This window comes from Homo sapiens, chromosome 1 (genome assembly GCF_000001405.40).
Source record: "Homo sapiens chromosome 1, GRCh38.p14 Primary Assembly".
NCBI lineage: Eukaryota > Metazoa > Chordata > Mammalia > Primates > Hominidae > Homo > Homo sapiens.
In genome coordinates this window covers 116,418,923-116,440,427 of record NC_000001.11, presented here as the reverse complement: position 1 = coordinate 116,440,427, position 21,505 = coordinate 116,418,923, and the positions used below count along the sequence as shown (strand labels likewise).

Below are 21,505 nucleotides of genomic sequence, written 5' to 3'. Positions count from 1 at the left end.
GAAAGTAACAAGCTCAATGGGCTCAATAAGAAAATGAAGGAAAAAGAGGAAAAAATCATCGAATCTGAAGATAGAGCAATTACCCAAATTACCATCAATGTGAACAACAGAGAGAAAAAACACTGAGAAAAAAATGAATAGTCTCTGCACTTGTGGGGCCATAACAAAAAAAAAACACATTTTGTCATTGGAGTGAAGAAGAGATAAAGGGCAGAGCTGAAAAAGCACTGAAAAAACAATAGTTGAAAATTTCCCAAATTTGGCAAAATACCAAAAAAACCCTATAGATTTTTAAAGCAGATTCTAAAAGTTTTATCCAAATAGGATAAAACCAGAGAAACTTATGTCAAGACATATGTTGAGCAAACTTCAGAAAATTAAAAACAAAGAAAAAAGTCTTCAATGCAAAGAGAAAAATAATACTTTACTCATAAGAGAAAATAATTCAAATAACAGTGGATTTCTTATCGGAAACCATGGAGGCAAAAGGAAGTGGCACAACATTTTTCAAGTGTTGAAACATGTTAACTCAGAATCCTATATCCAAGGAAAACATCCTCAGGAATGAAGGGGAAATGAAAACATGCTCAGTGAACATGAAGTCAAACTAAGAAAAGTTATCACTAGCAGACCTACTCTAACAGAATGGCTAGACAAAGTTTTCTAACAGAAGGAAATGATAAAAGACAGAATCTTGGAATGGCAGGAAGAACAAAAAAAACATGGTAATCAAAAATATGGGTAAAGATTCCTCGAGTATTTTAGATTTTGTTTGATAATTGAAGTAAAAATTATAATACTGTCTTAGGTGGTTCTAAATGTGAAAAGGAAATATTTAAGAAAATTATAATAAGGAGAGGATAAAAAGGCATAAAGGGAGGCTAAGGTTTCTACACCTCATATGTACTGATAAAATGATGGTGTGTCACAGGAGTAGAATTTTTAAAAAGTGATGGCAGCAGTAGACTATGATGTGGACATATAACACAATACCAAAAGAAACTATTGAAAAAGCTATATAAGGAGATATAGACTGGGCACGGTGCCTCATGCCTATAATCCCAGCACTTTGGGAGGCCGAGGAGGGTGGATCACTTGAGGTCAGGAGTTTGAGACCAGCCTGGCCAACATGATGAAACCCTGCCTCTACTAAAAATACAAAAATTAGCCAGGTGTGGTGGACTCCTGTAATCCCAGCTACTCAGGAGCCTAAGACAGGAGAATCACTTGAACCCAAGAGGTGGAGGCTGCAGTGAGCCGAGATCATGCTACTGTACTCCAGCCTGGGTGACAAAGCAACACTCCATCTAAAAAACAAACACACAAACAAACAAAACAAAACAAAAACACAAAGATCTAATCAGCATTTATAGAATACTGTGCCTAACAACAGCAGAATATGCATACGTTTTTTCAATTTTCAGTGTAACATATCCCAAAATAGATCAGATCCAGGGCCATAAAATAAACTTCAACAAATTTAAAAGAAATCATACAGAGTGTGTTCTCCTGACCACAATAAACTCAAGTTAGTGATCAATAACAGAAAGAAAATGGAAAAAATGACCAAACACTTAGAAACTAAATAACTTCTAAATAATACATAAATCAAAGAGAAAGTCTCAGAGAAATTAAAAATTACATTGAACTAAATGTAAATGAAAATGCAACAAAATTTTTGTGGGACACAGCTAAAGCAGTGCTGAGAGTAAAATGTATAGCACTAAATGCATACTCTAGAAAAAGGAGGAAAGTGTCAAAACAATAATCTAAACTCCCGTCTCAGGAACATAGAGAAGAAGAAAAAAATTAGCCCAAAGCAAGCAGAAGGAAGAAAATCATAAAATTAACCACAGAAATAATGAAATTTAAAACAGAAAAACAGTAGAGGAAATCAATGAAACAAAAAGTTGATCCTTTGAAAGATCAATAAAATCAACAAACCTCTCTAGCAAGACTGACAAAAAAGGAGTGAAGACACAAATTATTAATATCAGGTATGAAACAGGGCATATCACTACAGACCATGGAGGCATCAAATGGTTAATAAAAAAAGATAGTATGAACAACTCTACACACACAAATTTGACAAGTTACATGAAATGGACAAATCTATTCAAAAATACAAACTACTACAACTCACCCAATATGAAATAGATCATTTGCATAGCCCAAAGCTACTAAATAAATGGAATTAATTGGTAGTGAAAAAACGCCTAACAAAGAAATCTTCAGGCTTAAATGGTGTCTTTGGAGAATAAAAAAGAATAAAGAAGAATTTACTTCAATTCTACAAAATATTTTCCAGAAAATAAAATAGGAAGGAACCCACCCCAATTTATTTCATCAAGCTGGTATTACCTGCATACCAAAACCAGACAAAGACAGTACAAAAAAAGAATATTACAGAACAATATCTTTCATGAATACAGATGCAAAATTTCTAAGAAAATAGGAAATAGAACTTAGCAATATATAAAAAGAAGTATTCTGTTGCTAAATAGAATTTAGCAATATATAAAAAGTCACCAATTAGAGTTCATTCCCGAAATATAAGGCTGGCGCAATCAATGTAATTCACTATGTTAACAGACTAAAAAAGAAGGAGAAAAATTAGATGATCATATCAACTGATGTAAAAGAAAAAGCATTCAACAAAATTAAATGCCTATTCATGATAAAAAGTTTTTTTGAAAAACAATAATAGAAAGAAACTTCAACTTGATAAAAAGCATCTACGAAAAACTTGCAGCTAACATTATACCTAATTGTAAAGACTGAATACTTTGTTCCTAATATCAGCAACAAAACAAGGATGTGTGCTCTCATCACTCTTATTCAACATAGTGCTGGAAGTTCTGGCCAGTTTAATCAGGCAAGAAAAGAGAATAAAAGGCATATAGATCAGAAAGGAATAAATAAAACTGTTTCTATTTCAGATGAAATGCTTATTTGCCTAGAAATGACATGGCATCCACAAAAAAACATCCAAAACTAATCAATTAATTCAGCAATGTAACGGTACGAGACAAACATACAAAAATCAGTCATACATCTATATACTAGCAGTGAAGACTTGAACACTACAATTAAAAATACAATATCATGTACAATAGCCTTAAAAAAATAAATACTTAGGTAAGTCTAACAAAATGTACAAAACTTAAATTCAGAAAATCACATGACGTTGATGAAAGAAATCATCTAAATAAATGCAGAGACATGCCATGTTCATGAATTGGAAATTTTGTATATATATATATATATATATATATATATATATATATATATATATAAATATAAAATATACATTTCCTATATATATGTATTTCCTATATATATTTCTAATATATATATATTTCCTATATATATATTTCTAATATATATATATTTCCTATATATATATTTCTAATATATATATATTTCCTATATATATATTTCTAATATATATATATTTCCTATATATATTTCTAATATATATATATTTCCTATATATATTTCCTACATATATATTCAGAAAACCCATCTCCTGCACAACATGAATTGGAAAATTTAACAAAGATGTCAATTTCTCCCAAATTGATATACACTTATTGCGATACAATTATCTCTCGATATTTTCAGGAAATTGGCTCCAGGACACCCTCCTCCATACCAAAATCCTTGGATGCTCAAGTCCCTCAATAAAAAGGCATGGTATTTGCATAAAACCTAAGCACAGCCTCCCATATACTTTAAATCATCTTTAGATTACTTATAATACCTAATACAATTAAATGTATGTAAATAGTTGATATGTTGTATTGTTATTTGTATTTTTTATTGTTGCATTGTTATTTTTTATTTAAAAAATATTTTGATCCTTGGTTGGTTGAATCTACAGATGTGAAACCAATTGATACAGAGGATCGGCAGTACCTATCCAAACCCTGATAAGATTTTTGCAGACATGGATAGAATCATTCTAAGATCTATGTGAAAAGGCAAAGGAACTAGACTAGCTAAAATATTTTGGAAAAAATAAATAAAGTGAAAGGAAACCATCTGCCACATTTTAAGACTTACTGTACTGCTACAGTGATCAAGTCTTTGTGGTATTGGCAAAGTAATAGACACATAGACCGATTGAATGGAATACAGAAACCAGAAATAGACCCACACAAATATGCCAAACTGATTTCTTTTGGTCACAGCTTTACTGGGATATAGTTCACACACCATACAACTCACCTACTTAAAATGTAAAACCCAGTGGTTTTTAATATATTCAGAGTCATGCTACCATCACCACAATCAATATTAGACCACTTTTATTACCCCCCAAAGAACTTTGTACCCTTTATCAGTGACCCATACTTTTCTGCAACTTCCCCCATAGCCCTAGACCAACCACTAGTCTATTTTCTGCCTCAATAAATGTGCCTATTCTGGACATTTTATGCCCAACTGACTTTAACAAGAGTCAAGAGCAACTGCATAGAGAAAGGAAAGCCTTTCAACAAATGATGCTGTCACCAATGGACACCTATAGGCACCTATAATCAATCAATCAACCAACCAACCAACCAACCAACTAAATAACCAATATTGGCCTAAGTCTCACACCCTTAAGCAAAAGTTAACTCAAAATAGATCATGGACTTAAATGTAAAACACAAAAATATAAAACTTTTACCCCAAAACTAGGAGAAAATCTTTGAGGTCTACAGCTAGGCAAAGAGTTTTCAGACTTAATACCAAAAACATAATCATGAAAGAAAAAATGATAAGTTGGACTTAATGAAAATTTAAAATTTTTGTTCTATAAAAGCTCCTGTTAAAACGATGAAAAGACAAGCTACAGAATGGAGGAAAATATTTACAAATCACATATGCAGCAAATGATTAGTATCTAGAATATATAAAGAACTCTCAAAACTCAACAATAAAAAAGCAAATAATCCAATTAGATCATGGGCAAAAGACATAAACAGACATTTCACTGAAAAAGATATACAAATGGTAAATAGCACATCAAAAGTTGTTCAACATCATCAGCCATTAGGGAAAAGAAAATTAAGATGACAATTTTATCACCACACACCTATCAGAATGGCTAAAAACAAATCGTGGTAACATTAAATGCTGATGATGATGTAGAGAAACTGGACTACTCACATATTGCTGGCAGGAAAGTAAAAAATGTTACAACCAATCTGAAAATGATTTGTCAGTTTCTTTAAAAACTAAACATGTAACTACCGTATGACCCAGCAATTACACTCCTGGGCAATTATCCCAGAGAAATGAAGACAAATGTTCATACAAAATCCTGTAGACTAATGTTTACAATAGCTTTATTCATGGTAGCCAAAACCTGGAAACAGCCCAGATATCCTTCAATGGGTGAATGGTTAAACAAACTCTGGTACATCCACACTGCAGAATAATACTCAGCAGGAAAAAGGAATGACCGATAATACAGACAATAATCTAGATGCATTTCCAGAGAATTATGCTGAGTGAAAAAATCCTATCACAAAAGGTTACATACAGTATGATTCCTTAAATATGGCATTCTCGAAATGACAAGACTTTAGAAATGGAGACTAGATTAGTGATTGCCAGGGATTAAGGAGTCGGTGGGGGTGGAAAGGAAGTGAGTGTGGGAATAAAAGGACAATGAGGAATCCTTGTGCTGTTGGAAATATTCTATATCTCAACCTTATAGTTTTGCAATATCATTAAGGGAAATTGGGTAAAGTGCGCATAGAATCTCTGTATTATTCTTTACCACTGCATAACCTACATTTATCTCAAAATTAAAAGTTGAAGGTAAAAAAAGATTACATACTGAATTATTCCATTTATAGGACATTCTTGAAAAAAATAAAACTATGGAGATGGAGAACAGATCAGTGGTTATTAGGGGTTAGGAGAGCTTCTTTTCTATGATTTTGCAGTCTGAAGTTGCCATACCTGGAAGCAGAACCCAAGTCTTCTAATTTCTGAGAGCATGATCTCAAAAAGCCAGGGAAGATGGCCGTTTTAGTATCCAAGGGACATTTTTGTCCATCTAGAGAAAGAAGCATTTCACAAGGTAACTGATCATTCGGGAGTCCCACAGTGTGGTTAAGCAGGACAGCAATAAACATCCTTGGGTGTTTCCTGTCTCCTGCTTTTGGCTTGGGCAAGGAAAGCCATTTGCTTTGGAAACCAGTCAGAATCAAGCCTAGTGAGAATTAAGTCTACCTTCATCAAGAACCCATCTCCCTCAGGCTTCTCCAGGAGGTGATCTAGGTCCTTTGGTGGGGGCTGATGTAACTGCCAGACTGTGGGGCAGCTTAACGCTCCTACCAGATGACACTGCTGTCAGGGGCAGGAGCCCTGGGTCCCAGTGATGGCCCTATCGCTTACTCCATCACCTCTCCAATAAAAAGCAGGGGACAGACTTGCTCTTGGGCCCTTTCAGCTCCTGTGTTCTGAGATTCTGACAGCTGAGATCTCTGAGGCCTGCAGCTACCTGGGGCCCACTGTAAGCACCCCAAGGGCAGGGCTGGGGCTGGCCCCCCACTCTGTGCTCAGAGACAAGTGAAGGCACAGCTACAGCAAAGAGTGGGTAACAGGGAATGCCGTGTCATCTGATCCTTAGCTGATTAATCCTTTGAAAACGCACTCTGAGGACATGTTCGTGAAGGACGTCACTGAGGTGGGGGAAGAATGCAGCCTGTTGTCTGGGCCCAGGACACAAAGGCCTGTCTGTTTGCACGTGGGCACTCCTGATCCAGGCCGGATCAGCTGCTCTTGTTTCCTCCTTCGCCATCACAATACAACTACAGAGTTACAGTCTGCCCTTCAACCCCCGCCCCAGGAGAACTGGGCAATGGGATTTCTGCCCACTGGGTGCCCGCTGAGCACAGCCAGTAATACCAGCCTCCCGGCCCACTTGGCTCCTAGTGAGTGTAGAATTTCAATAGCCTGCTGCTCCCTGCCCTCATTTACTGCCCTCTCTTATCTTCCCTTTCTCTCACCCTCCCAGACACACGTGTGAGTGGCAGATCCAGGGTGATCTGGACCCTGCTGATCATCAGTGAGCCAAGCCTGGAAGCCTGAGCCATCACCAGCTGGGTGGTAGCCAGCTGTGGCTCAGGGCCACTCTAGAAACACTTGCCTTGGGCTGCAGCTGCCCTGGGCTACTACCCTGATCCCTAGGAAACGGGGCATGGGGCATTTTCCTGAACAGAGCCCTTGCCAATGCCCAGCAAGAAACCAGTGTGGCACTGGGATTGGAAAGCCTGGAGTGTGAATATGGACTCTGATGTGCCAACTTACAGAAGAAGCATAGGCAAGATTCTTAGTCTCTGTGAGTCTTGGTTTCCTTGTTTACGTAAGATGAAGATAATCATTATTGCCCCATAGGATTGTTAAGAGGTTTCCATGGGCATTCAAGCAGTGCTTAGCATGGGGTAGACATAGAGTAAGCACTGAAATCACACACACACACACACACCTCACACACACATCAGCCACTCAAGACCATTCATTTGTTCATCAGTTGAGTGCCTTTTAAGTGTCAAACACTGTGCAAGACACTTGAGAGGAATCAGTGATCAAAACAGACAAAAATTCCTAGCATCATGTCATGCAACTTCCAATGCAGTGAGACAGACAAGAAACAATAAACGTGACAAACAAGGAGAGTATAATAGTATAGTATGTCAGAGGGGCTGGGGCTGTCAGGAAAAAGAACAGAGCAGGGTAAGAGGAACCAGAAGGTGGGAGTAGGGGAAGGTCCAATGTTTAACAAAGTGGTCAAGAAAAGCCTTATTAAGAACGTGACATTGATGTAAAGATCTGAAGGAGGTGTAGGAGGGAGTCAGGCAGGTTTGGGGAGAAGGAAGTTCCAGGCAGAGGGAACAGCCCTGAAAAGTGCCCAAAGTGGAGGTGTGCCTAGTGTCTCCATACACTAGGAGGAGGTCGGCTGTGCTAGGAGAGTGAATGAGGGGCAATACTGAGAGCTGAGGAGAGGGATGAAAGCAGGCTAGATGCAGGAGGACCTTTGCATTGTCTGCTGGGGCCGCCTACCGAAGTTCCACAAACTGAGTGGCTTAAACAACAGAAAAGTACCAAGTTCCGGTGACCAGAAGTCCTTATAAGGTATCGTGTCCCTGGATTTCCCAACAGGTTTCTTCTTCTTATTCCTCTGCAGAAAGGTGTAATTTGGGGACCCTTCCTTTTATCACCTCTCCTGCCAGGCAACACGGGCTGGGCTTCTGTGAGCTTTTCTTGCCTGCCACTGGTCCTTTCTTTCTTCCTTGAACAAACTATTCAGGCCTCAGAAGTCTCTCATTCTTATCTGGGTTTATCTGCAGCATTCCTGATGCGGGGTCAGTGTGCATCTTATGGCTCCACTCCTTCCTGCTGTGAGCACCTGAGAATGGTCATATCCTTGCTAGTTTTCTTATCAGTCTTCCCTGACCTGAGAGGCCCTTTCCTGCCTTCAGTTCCATTCTAGTTGGGTTGGTTGGCCCTACCCTGTATCCAGCTAAACTCAGCCCACTGCTTCTCTGGATAGGTATTTGTAGAAGGATCAACCCTAAAAATCAATCCAATTATTATAAATAAAAATCAATAATAATACCCAGTGTGGCCGGGCATGATGGCTCATGCCTGTAATCCTAGCACTTTGGGAGGCTGAGTTGGGTGGATCACCTGAGGCCAGGAGTTCGAGACCAGCCTAGCTAACATGGTGAAACCCTATCTTTACTAAAAATATAAAAATTTGTTGGGCGTGGCGGCATACACCTGTAATCCCAGCTACTCGGGGCGTTGAGGCAGGAGAATCGCTTGAACCCGGGGTGTGAAGGGTTGCAGTCATTGCACTCCAGCCTGGGTGACAGAGCAAGACTCTATCTCAAAAAAGAAAAAAAAAAAAAAGAACCAGTGCTAGTGATGGTTCCCTTGTGGCTGGTCATGGCATATATCATTATAATGATTTAGGAAAGTAATTTGATAATATGTGTGAACTATCATGAGATCTAAGGGTGCTTGTACCCTTTCATTCAGGTATCTCACTTTTGCAAATTTAGCTAAAGAAAATAAACCTGAAGAGGAAAATACTTCATGTAAATAAAAATATACATCACAGAAATTTATAACATGGAAGACTTGGAAAAAACAGCAATGACTAATATTTATTAAGTATTTATTATATACCAGGCATCATTAAGTTCTTAATATATTATTTCACCTAATCCTCACTACATCTTCATAAGATGGGAACAACGAGATAGAACCTGCAATGACCATGTAACTCCTGTAATTTCCTCAGGCACCTACCAAGTGCTGTAGTTTAGTCTACTGGCCTTGAGGACTGCCCTACAGCTACATTAATCTTGATCTTGTACCCAATCCTTTCCTGCCCCTGCCCCCTCCCTCTAATAATTAGACTACCACAGGGTAAGTGCTGTGACATAGCCAATTAATGACAAGAATCACTACTGATTCTTGCAAGCTCTCCTCCCCCCTCTGTATAAAGTTAGATTAATGACTCTGACAGGACGTTAAGTGAATTGGTTTGATTTTTGTAATTGAAAAAATTGGGGGTAGGGCATTACTTTAATTCCAGCTCCTCCTTCAAACCTTCAAGATCTTCTGGATCCCAACTCTTTTGTTTAATATAGTAACTATCTCTCTCAAATTTTTCACTGTAGATCCCATAGCACATGCGCAGTGCCAAGAGACCCTCTCTAGGTTCAGATAATAGTGCTGAAACTCTTCCTTTCCTACCACCTTTAAAAAAAAAAAATTAGGCTGTGTGCAGTGGCTCATGCCTGTAATCCCAGCACTTTGGGAGGCTGAGATGGGAGGATTGCTTGAGCCCAGGAGTTTGAGACCAGGCTGGGCAGCATGGTGAGACCCCCATCTCTACAAAAAAACAAATTAGTTGGGAGTGGTGGTGTACACCACGCCTATAGTTCTAGCTACTTGGGAGGCTGAGGTGGAAGGACTGCCTGGGCCTGGAAGGTCGAGGCTGCAGTGAGCCATGATCACACCAGTGCACTCCAGCTTGGGTGACAGAGGAAGACTCCATCTCAAAAGAAAGAGGAAGAAGGAAGGAAGGAAGGGGAAAGAAAGAAGGAAGGAAGGAAGGAAAGAAAGAAGGAGAAAGAAAGAGAGAGAAAGAAAAAGAAAGAGGAAGGAAGGAAAGAAGGAAAGAAGGAAGGAAGGAAGGGAAAGAAAGAGAGATTAAAGTACTTATGAACTCCTCACATAGTAAGCCCAAAATAGAGCTTTTATCAGCTATCTGGTAGGTCCAAACCATGGGTTGAGTACTGGGTTAGTTCTTTGGCAAACTGCCTGAGTTCTCTGACCTTGAATAGGCATGACCATCCACTTCACAGAATTGCTGTGCAGATGATGAAGAAGTAGGTGACAGTGCCTGCTACAGTACTTGGTACATCACACACATCCTCAACACACATCCATTCATTCATTCACTCACTCATTAATTCAAGCTGGCTTCTCCTCCATCGTTCACTCAACATATGTTGCTAGGAATGTAGATGCAGAGCAGAACTGGTCCTGAGCAGGTCCCTACGCCTGACAGCTGCTGGTGAGTGTAAGGTCCTGGCCCGGAGGCAGAGCCCAGGTCTGATTCAGCGCTTGTAGCCCCACCATTTCTATTAGGAGAGGCTGGCTTCCTTGCACCCTGTCCCACCGCAGCTGGCTGCCTTTTCTCCAGAGGTGCAGAGAGGAAGGGAGGCATGAAGTGGGAAGTGCTGTCTTGGCAGAAAGACTGCTTTGGCCTGTATGGGGCCATATACACTTGAAGAATTAAGCTTTTCTGGTTTGGAGTCAGTCTATTCATCTTTTTTTTTTTTGAGTGGAAACATTATGTTTATTGAGTATATGTTCTTCAAAAGCAAGGAGTGTTTTTCAATCTAAAATTAACACTCCCTTTTAGGAATGCTTATTGCCCACAGAGATTCCATGCTAAAATCTCAATCCCTTTAGTGGTTATATTTTTTGAAAAAAGGAGTGGGTCAAGTTTCCTAAAGGAAGTTGCTGTTGAGTTCATGCAAGTTAATTATTTTTCCACTGGCATCCCCTCCTTGCCCATCCTCTTGTCACCCACTGACAACCCTAACTTGTCACCCTTATTCCAGACATCAAGCTGAGTCCTTGAAGTGGTCGGAGGGACAAAACAGAATTCCTGGAGACAGTGTCCTAAGGGAGTGCCAGAGGCACTCATTTGTTTGACAACTAATTTTGGAGGCAGGTGCTCTTCCTTGTCTTAGGATCTTCCAGTCAACAAGGCTGAAAATCTCCCTGCCTCCTGGAGCTTGCTTCTGTGGAAGAAGGCAGTCAGCAAACACATGAACAAAGACAAGTTCAGGGAGCTGAAGGTGCTGGAAAGAGGAGGAAACAAGGGTTTGTGGGTAAAATAATGTGCCCAATGTCGTGCACTTTGTAGGGGACAGAGGACTCAATACGACTTGGATCTGACACTGGAATTCACCTGACTGTGCTACACAGGCTCTCCTGCATAGCTAGTGCTTCCACCAGCAGGGGTGACAATTAGACCTTACCTTTGCCTAGTATTTTATACACTTCCAAGCGATTTCCAGCACATCACCTCATTTCACCTTGGAACATGATTATTTCCACCTTTTCCTCTGAGGCCTGCCACGAATGTAAAGGAAAATGGTAGGAGCCGATCCTCTAGCAACGGAGCCAATTAAGCTTCCTGCAAATGTAGAGCAGTTAAATCCCCATGACATGAAGGACCAATAAAAGCTTTGAATTGGCCATGTCTAGAGCAGAACCTTGTGGGCCGGAATTTAAATAGGCAAAGGTCTTTGCTTTCTCCTCCTGTGACTTACAGAAACTAGTTCTTATTCAGCCTCTGCAATGTGGAAAAGAGTCGCTGATAGCAGCTCCTGTATTCTTAGGTGCTGTGGGGATACTGCAGCAGCTCTCTGTCCTTCCAGTGTCTCCAGGGAAGAACATCTTCCTCTCAAGTGAACAGTGCTTACCGCTTCAAGCATCCAGTCTCAGCAATAAGGTCAGCGTTTGACTGTTGACAAAGTATTTTGGCATACTTGATCATGTTTGATGCTCACATAATCCCACTGTGTAGCTTCTCATAATCTTTGTAACTTTTGGATGGGGAAACTGAGGGTCAGGCTGAAGGCACCCGATGGGTATGTTTCTGTGGGAATGGCAGACCAGCTGGGCCTTGAGACTCAGGATTCCTGACACCAAGATTCCTCCTCGCTCTGCCACTGAAAGGACGCTTGCTTTTGTGCTGGCTTTGGAAGGAACACTTTCTAAAATGTGTTATATATTTGCCTGCCTCTTACAGCAGAGGACACTGGGGGTAGGGAGTGTGTGGGACGGTGTAACATTTTCTTGACAAATATAGGTATTTTTATGAACACATGGCTCTCCATTCTGCATAGCATTGTGCCTGGGTATTACTTTTTCTTACTCCACCTTTTGATACCACTGGGCCTGCTCAGCCCTTGTCCTCTCTTAATTTTGAGGATTCCAATCAGAAGATGCTTATTACAAATTGTTGTAGGCAAATTCAGTAAGAGCGTAGATCGCTATAACTCATCTGAGGGGCAATTAGGCAATGAGTTTAAGAAGCTTTAAAAATATTTGGCCAGGTACAGTGGCTCACGCCTATAGTCCTAGAAGTTTGGGAGGCTGAGGTGGGAGGATTGCTTGAGGCCAGGAGATTGAGACCAGCCTGGGTAACATAAAGAGACCCTGTCTCTATTTTAAAGGAAATTAAAAAAATATTTAAAGAAGTTTATAATTTTTGATCCCATAATATCCTAAAAGAATATTCAGAAGTGTGCAAAATTATTTCTGTATAAGATTATTCATCATGGCATTATTTATAAATTTTGAAATGGAAAGCAATCAATATAAGGAACAATTAAACACTGATTAAATAAAACACATGACATCCACGTGATAGAATATTACATAGCCATTAAAATTGCAAAAAAAATCCAATCAAATAGAAGTATGATCTATTCATAATGTTTGTTGTAAAACAGCACGCACATTTGAATCACAGTTTTGAAAAAAGTAATAAATAAACACAAATAGAAAAATAATAGGAGCATACACGCCAACATTTTATAGGAGGTGCTTCTGCATGTGGGGTGTTGGGTAGTGTTTTTTTTTAATGCTTTTGTATTTTCTATGTTGAACACGTGCTCCTTTTGACATTTTAAAAAAATGACTGAAATATTATTTAGGCACGAAATATTGGCTACATGCTACATGAACCACCGAGGCACTGAGTAAGGGCCAGGTCAATGGGTATGACTATCAGACATGAAAGTGGCTTGATGAGGCTGAGAAAATGTTTTTGCTGATTTCTGAACTTGGGGCTCTGTTCTGAAGGTCTCAAAAAAGCTGTTATGGAAGGAGAACTATTATTTGCCTTAAGGATTTTAGTCTTGCTGGAGAGAAAATAGCCCATCAAACTATGAGAGAGCACAGGAAGGAGGGGGTGTCCATGTGGGCCCCACAATGACAAGAGGCAGGAGCTGTGTGTGGGCAGCTGGGCCTCGAAGGGCAGATGGAAAGTCAATAGGGGGAGGAAAGGGGGCGGCAGAGCCCTGCCTCGGTGGCAGGAGGGGTTTCCTTCTGCTCCTTCCCTAGAAATCCAAGTCGCTTGTTGTAGCTCTGCTTGGACCAATGAATCCCAGAAGCTGTGTGCTGGGTCAGAGCATGTGTTGCCAGACCATCTGTGAGGAGCCTGACCCAGCCTGGCATGCCATAGGGATGCCCGTGGAAGGGCATGGCCCTACCCAGCACCAGCTGGGAGGGAACCTGCCTAGCCGCCCATTGCCCTGAATAAATCTGGGTTACAGCTGCCAAAGCAGTTTGCCCGGTGCTTGTGCTGTCCTGCCGAGCAGCCCGGTGCCAGCCGGGCAGGAGTGTGGAGGGTGCACGAGGTATGGGCTGAGGCCTCACCATGGCATCTGCTGTCTGAATAAGAATTCCAAGTCTCCATGTGGCCCTTTATTACTGATAATATGCCTTGGGTTGTGGGTAGCAGCATATTCATAGGAATACTAAGTGTATACAGGTGCATGTGCCCCAGGCCACCACCCCTACCTCCCCACATACACACACACCAGGCCCTGAGCATCTTTAGATTGGTGGGTCGGTGGGAATGCAGCCCCTGTCCCTTCTTGTCCTCATCCCACAGCCCAGCATGGAGGTGCCATCCTTGTGAAGCCCCATCGCGGCTGACTGGGCTCCTGGCAGCTCCATCTTCTGGAGTGAGTCAGCCAGATTCTGGGGCCTTCGCTGCTCTGAGAACCTGCCAGAGTTGGGACAAGCCTCTGTCTTCCTGGGTGATTTGGGGAGGTCCACGCTCACTCTGCTCACCCACCCCAGCTTCCTCAGCTTCACAAGAAGGATCAGGCAGGTGAGAGGAGTCCCTGGCTTACCTCAACCTAAATAAGCCACAAAGGGAAGTGTGACAAGGCTTAACTGCCAATTGTAGTTGTTAATGCTGGTGTGTGTTGTAGTTAACTGCCAAAAAATCTTCTAAGAAGATGAGATGCCTTTTATTCATTCATTCAACAGATATTTATTCATTTAATAGATATGCATGTTAAGTGCTAGAAGAAATGGGAATGGAGAAGAAAAGACCCAGCAATTCCACTTTCATATATATGCACCCAAGATAATTAAAAATATATGTCCACACAAAACTTGTACACAACTGGTCATAGCAGAATTATTCATAATGGCCAAAAAGCAAAACAACCCAAATATCCATCAACTGATGAATGGATTAATAAAATGTGATGTATCCATAGTGAAATATTATTTGGCCATAAAAAAGGAATAAAATACTGATAGATGCTGCAGCATGGATAAACCTTGAAAGCATTCTGTTAAGTGAAACAAACCAGATGCAAAAGGTGTTATTGCATGATCCCACTTACATGGGATGCTCAGAATAGACAAATCTCTATAGATTTTTATAGACAGAAAGTAGATTAGTGGTTGCCTAGGTTTGAGGAGGTGGTAGATAGAACCGAGGGGCCAAGAGGAATAGGATTTCTTTTTGGGGTGTTGAAAATGTTCTAACTGTAGTGTGGGGCTTACCTCTGTGAATTCAACTCCAGGTTGAGGGGTGGATGAGCATCACTCAGTTGGCTGGGCTCTGCCCTCATTGCTCCCTTTGGCTGGTATCCCTGGGGGTGTCTTGATTCCAAGTGGGCTTGTTGCAGTGGCTGCTAGACTACAATAAAGCCTTGGTTTCTGTAGATGAAGGCTAAGGCATGAGGTCAGACTGTGTGCAGGGCAGTGATTCCTGTAACTGCTAGAAAATCAGGCTATCATAGGCATTTACTCCTCCCTCTTCTGAGCCCGTGAAGGGTGGATTGGTGGCAAAGACATATGGTGTGACCTGATAGGATACCCCCCTGATCCACAGCCTCCCAGTTTCCTCAGTCCTGCCAGACAACATTTGGGCAAACCAGCACAATCCAGCCTCTTTTTTATCCACCACTATCACCCCAAGTAACTCACTCTTGCTCTAAACACCCCTGCATTTTCCTGCCATCATCTCTTCTGTTCATACAGTGTCTTCTGCCCTAAATGAACTTTCTTCATCATTCCCTGTTAAAATTCTACTCTTCTGTTAAGATGTGGACCGAACACCGTCTCCATTCCTCCCACCATCCAGCATCAGGATGCATCTCTCCCTCTTCTGTGACTCCCATCACACCCATTACCCTTTGTGACTGGGTGACAACACTGTTGCTCTGCTCATCTTCCTATTGTGGATATTTCTGTCCCTCCCATGGACGGTGAGCTCCCTGGGGGCAGGTATGCTCTACAATATCAATATGTATCCTCCATGGTGCCCCATTCAATGCCGTGCACGTGGTATATTTTCAGAAAATGTCTGCTGAATTATGGTGTAGGCATTTTTCTAACCAGATGGGCTATGTTCTGCAGAAACTCAGCATACAGGAATACACCATTAATGAGTTTGAAACAAGGGGAACTGATTTTACAAATGGTACCTGTTTGCAAGATTTTTAGCTCTCTCAGTCCATTTGCTCACTTAGGGCTGCATTCAGTGGTCAACTTCTACATCTCTATATCTCCCTGTACCTTCCCTCAGATCAGCTAGCGCATTGCTAAATGCCAGTAGCTTCTGCAAGATAACCTAAGTACAGGGTTTGCACCACTACTGGGAGTGCTTTAAGGGCTGAAGAGGGATCTGCTAAAATTGAGAGATTTTTCAGTTCATTATGTTCTGTTCAGTTAAGCCATCAGTGATGTTTCTTCTTTAGACCTTTATCTTTTCTGCCAAACATAAAAATATTCCAACCATTTGCACCCATATTGGTGAATTGCAGGCAGTGACATGATGAATTTTTTAGCAGAAAACTGTTGTTTTTCCTCTGTGTGATTTGTAAGGGCTGTTGTCCTTTTGCAGAGAATTTTATTATATGTTAGTGCCAATTTGTTTTCCAGAGGAGCACATCTCCAAATTTATAATGAAAGACAAGCAAAGTGGGACTTCATGGCCTTGGCTGGACACCAAGTGATAGCTAATTTTTGCAGCAGGGAAGACGAAATAACAAGTCCCTGGATTGCAATTTTGGTTTCTCCTTCTGTTCTCAAACAAAAAATTGTTTAAATAATAAACTCTTGTCTTCATCATAATTATTAGTTAATGAATGCATGTCTGTATTTCAAAAGTATATTTTATTTTTTAGATCTTAAATGTCATCCTAGGATTGGCAAATACCTTTGGGCTGCTGACCTTTGATTAAGGCAGAAGATGCTGGTGAAATGAATTAATAGTTCATTTAGCTAAATGGACTGGAAGGACAAACAAAAGTCTAGTTGACCAACTGTTACTCGCGAAGTCTCATGTTAGCTACCATCTGATCTTTAGCCAGTACAGAGAAATGATGAGTATGTCCATTTGGTAGAATGAATGAGTTACATTTAAAACTGTATATTTTATATTTACTTGATTAACTTGATTTGCTTGATTATAGACTCTGAAATAAGGAATGTCATTGTAACATAACTCTAGCAACCATTTTGGAATCTCATTTGCTGCCAAGAACAAATGAGGATCTTAATTTATTCAATTTCTTATGTCAGAATATAAACTTTACACAATCCAAAAAACCTTTGCCATGTATCCAAATGAGGATCTTAATTTATTCAATCTCTATGTCAGAATATAAGCTCCACACAGCCCAAGAAAGCTTTCCCATGTCTCCCTCCCTTCCCTGTCATGCTTGTTCTTGTCTGCTGAGATCCCTGCTAGTGCGGAGACTCTACCTTGCACACATGCACACTCACACATGCACACACACTCCTATCTCCATTTTTTGAGGACTCTGATCTGCTTCAGCCTTCAAAGGTGCTAATAGGTTAATTTATTTCTCATCCACCCAAGTCACATACCGTATTTCTTCAAATCTAAAATGACATCGATTGCAAGATGCTACATTTATTTATGTACCATTAAAAAAATTATAACTGCAAGAGTCCAGAGATTTGTTAGGCCCTGATTTTAAAGATGTTTAGAAATGATACAGTGTGAGCCTTGCAATCAATGAAATGTATTTAAATTTTGAAGGGAGCCTTTTGTAGGCAATTCCTTAGAGACTCCAATGGTAGAGTGTCAGGCATCTTGGCGGACTGCTGGGGGAGAGGTTTGGAGTCAGATGATGACTGTGTTGTCACACAGTCACATCATGTAGTAAGCTGTTTATTTCACATCTCCAGTGGGACTGGCTCTAGGTGTGAAGATCCAGTGTATAACAAAGTGCAACATACACAAGAAACATGTAAGAAGAGGTGTAGATCTGTCTATAGGAAATTCACAGATGTCCCGTGATGCTGCATAAATCTCATTGACCACAGAAGGCTGTCCCACAAGTGTTCTGAGAACAGCCTATAGTCAATCTTTTTGCCTAGGCACCAGGCTGAGGTAGAGACTTGAGTTCTAACTTTTGTTTTGCTGTTCTCCAGTCCAGGGGCCAAGTGTCCTAGGTGGATGGTTTTTGTCCTTCGTCCTCAGTTCCTCAGGGGAGGCGAAAGACCATGGGCCTTGGGCTTCAATCAGGATAGCTCCACTTTTATGTCTTGGATATTGTTTGTCTGTGATTCTCTATTTTTAAAAAATGTTCCTCTGCTAAATGAAAGCTTGAAAGCCATTGATACAGATGAACTTTATCCTTTTGTCCACTGCTAAAATTCTCAGATTTATTATTTCACTTTAAAGAGGTAGATTATGGAGAAATATTAGATGCTTTCTTCTTTCATGGTAGCATCAAGACAGGAGGGCCAAGAGTTATTCATGTGAGAGGTTGTTCTGTTCCAACTGCTTCCTCCTCACTGTTTCTGCTGCGGCCTCGCCTATAAGTGAGCCCTTGGGAAGGAAGCAGATTTGCCCAGTGTCTTGGTCTCCTATTGCTGCCGTAACAAATCACTACAAACTAAATGGCTTAAAACAACATAAATGTATTATTTTACAGTTTTTTAGGCTAGAAATCTGACATGGGCTAGAATAAAGGTGTTGGCAGGGCCGCACTTTTTTCTGGAGGCTCTAGGGAAGAATCCATTTTCTTGCCTTTCACACTTTCTGGAGGCCACATTTATTCCTTGGTTTGTGACCCCCTTCTTCCATCTCCTCCAGCAATGGCGAGTGAGTAATTTTCACATCTCCCTGATTCTCTTCCATAGTCACATCTCACTCTCTTCTGCCTCCCTCTTCCACGTCTAAGGATCCTTGTGATTACATCGAGCCTGTTAAATTCAGTACAATCTTCCTATTTTAAGATCACTTGATTATCAACCTTAATTCCATCTGCAATCCTGATTTCCCTATGCCATGTAAGTCGTCTTCGGGGCCATTATTCTGTCTTCCACACCTAGAAATAGGAGTTGTAGTGTGACAGAGCTCGTGAGAATCAGAAAAAAAAGTGACACAAAACAAGCTGCAAAGCTATAAGCTAGTCTATTTTGAGTTGTGACCTTATCCCCATGTTATTGCTAGATAATGTTTATTAAACAAGGGACTCATGGAGTAGCACATAAATATTTCATGTGGGATTGGTGTCACAGGTTGAGCTTCCCAGAAGCTGACCCAGAGATGGAAACTTCCATGAGGGACATTTATTAGGAATACTCTTGGGATTAACACCTTTGGAATAGAAGGAAAATGAGAAACAATTTGTGCAGAGAGATAAGTTAGGCTGCAAAGCAGTCTCAACAAAGGTCTCTGCTGACCCCATAGGGAACTTTGAAGGTGGGGTGAGGGTGCCAGACAAGTATACCTCATTGGATGTGGGCTGCTCCAGGAAGGGGGGTGGGGTGTGACCTTGAGTGAGGATCTCTCTTCAGCTAAGGCACTTCCTGGAGAGGTCTGTCTGCCAGCAAATCCCCAGCAGCTTGAGGGAATAAGTTCACCAGTTCTAAAGAGAAATCTGGGTGGTGCACCCCAATGCCCACTACAAAAGGACTCTAGTGTAGGGAGCTTGTCAATGAACTGGGGGCAACTCTCCAAGGCTTAGGTCCTAGAGCAGAGAAAGTGTGGATAGGAAACGTAGGGGTTTGCCCAGACAGGCAAAGAGCTGATTCAGAAAGGATATTTTTTTCATCTTCTACCTATACCCCAGTCCCTGCAGAACTCTGAGGCTCCCTACCCATAGGGAGACAGTCTGCCTGCTGGTCACCTCCTACTCATCACTGGGAATCACAGACAGAACAAGTGGTGGCAACACCGGCCTGAAGATTCTGGACAGTGAGTAGATTTACACAGAGTAAACAAGAAGCTGGACTGAGTTTGGTTTAATCTGTCACTCCAGAAACCCACAAGCTGACAGCAGAGTCAATTCCACAGTATTTATGTGCCTTGGTGGCTGCTGCTCATGGTGGCTATTTCCCATGATCACATCTCATTATTCTTTATTACCTTGTCATCTGGAGGAGGAAGGATATCATCATCAATATTCTGTGAATTCCTAAATTATTTCACTTCTTCCAAATGAACTCTGTCTCACTAGCCTTGTGACCCTGGTGTCCCTCAGAACTCTACGCAGGGCCGGGAGTCTAGTTTAGCCTTAAGTGAAGGCAGAATAAGTGGCTCCCCCACTCAGGGTCACCAGAAAAATCCTAACCCGTGAGAATCTTCCTACCCTGTTTTCTGATGTCTGAAGTCCCAGGGCACAAAATTTTCAACTTCAAGCTCTGATCCCAATTAAATGTAGACACTCTCAGAAAGGGTCACTATCTCTTAATGAAACTGCATTTTAGCCGGGCGCGGTGGCTCACGCCTGTAATCCCAGCACTTTGGGAGGCCGAGGCGGGCGGATCACAAGGTCAGAGATCCAGACCATCCTGGCTAACACGGTGAAACCCCGTCTCTACTAAAAACACAAAAATTAGCCGGGCGTGGTGGCGGGCGCCTGTAGTCCCAGCTACTCAGGAGGCTGAGGCAGGAGAATGGCGTGAACCTGGGAGGCGGAGCTTGCAGTGAACGGAGATCGCGCCACTGCACTCCAGCCTGGGCGACAGAGCGAGATACCGTCTCACAAAAAAAAAAAAAAAAAAAAAAAAAGTGCACTTTAGATGTTTTCCTGGTGGGGGGGGGGGGGAGTGGGATATAAGTAGCAGTGTTCCAAGTACCAAAACCTCCCTGAGTCATCTGTGAAAAGCCATTTGGCAATAATACTGAAAGCTTTTAAATGCTCACATTCTGACTTAGCAGTTTCACTCCTGTGAATATAACCTAAGGAAACTGATCTCAATACTGAAAGGACTTTATACACAAGAATGGGCTGGGCAGCAAAGTGCTGTAATCCCAGCACTTTGGGAGGCCGAGGCCGGGTCGAGGGAGAAGCACCTGAGGTCAGAAGTTCGAGACCAGCCTGGCCAACATGATGAAACCCCGTCTCTACTGAAAGTACAAAAATTAGGTGGGCGTGGTGGCAGATGCCCGTAATCTCAGCTACTCAGGAGGCTGAGGCAGGAGAATCTCTTGAACCTGGAAGGCGAAGGTTGCAGTGAGCTGAGATCGCGCCACTGCACTCCAGCCTGGGCGACAAGAGCGAGACATCGTCTCAAAAAACAAACAAACAAACAAACAAACAACCAAACAAAACAAAAAAGAATGAATAATTTATAATCGTGAAGCTTTGGAAGCCACTTGAATGTTGAACATTTGCGAGATGCTCAGAGAAGTGACAGCGTATCAACCCAATTTTTTAAAGTCCTGCCATTAAAAATTATAGGTAGGAAGCGTCAGTACTAACACGGTGAAAATGTTCATGTTACAAAGTGGAAAACAACCCTGGATTCAGTTTAGTATGTGCGTTTTACCACAGCTATGTAGAAACAAATCCATACACATGGAAATCGAATGAAGTGAAACGCATGCAAATGGTAATGATGCTGTGCTTGGAGGCAGAATTGGAAGCAGTGTTAAAGTTATTTATCATCA

At 41.3% G+C, this 21,505-nt stretch overlaps 1 long non-coding RNA gene across 1 annotated transcript in view, besides 2 other annotated features; it reads left to right on the top strand.

Moving 5' to 3' along the window:
• The window catches only part of LINC01762 (long intergenic non-protein coding RNA 1762), a 55,103-nt gene extending 38,399 nt beyond the window's left edge, over positions 1 to 16,704 (top strand). The window contains exons 3-4 of the long non-coding RNA NR_125972.1: positions 11,934 to 12,046; positions 16,513 to 16,704. This is a non-coding gene — a long non-coding RNA (long intergenic non-protein coding RNA 1762). The remainder of the gene's footprint in view (positions 1 to 11,933; positions 12,047 to 16,512) is intronic.
• Positions 13,354 to 13,853: an enhancer, noted in NCBI's record as "H3K4me1 hESC enhancer chr1:116969197-116969696 (GRCh37/hg19 assembly coordinates)". NCBI's record gives its function as "activates a minimal SCP1, AML or CMV promoter by ChIP-STARR-seq in primed H9 embryonic stem cells {active_cell/tissue: H9 hESC(primed)}" and the evidence as "EXISTENCE:reporter gene assay evidence [ECO:0000049][PMID:30033119]".
• Positions 13,854 to 14,355: an enhancer, noted in NCBI's record as "H3K4me1 hESC enhancer chr1:116968695-116969196 (GRCh37/hg19 assembly coordinates)". NCBI's record gives its function as "activates a minimal SCP1, AML or CMV promoter by ChIP-STARR-seq in primed H9 embryonic stem cells {active_cell/tissue: H9 hESC(primed)}" and the evidence as "EXISTENCE:reporter gene assay evidence [ECO:0000049][PMID:30033119]".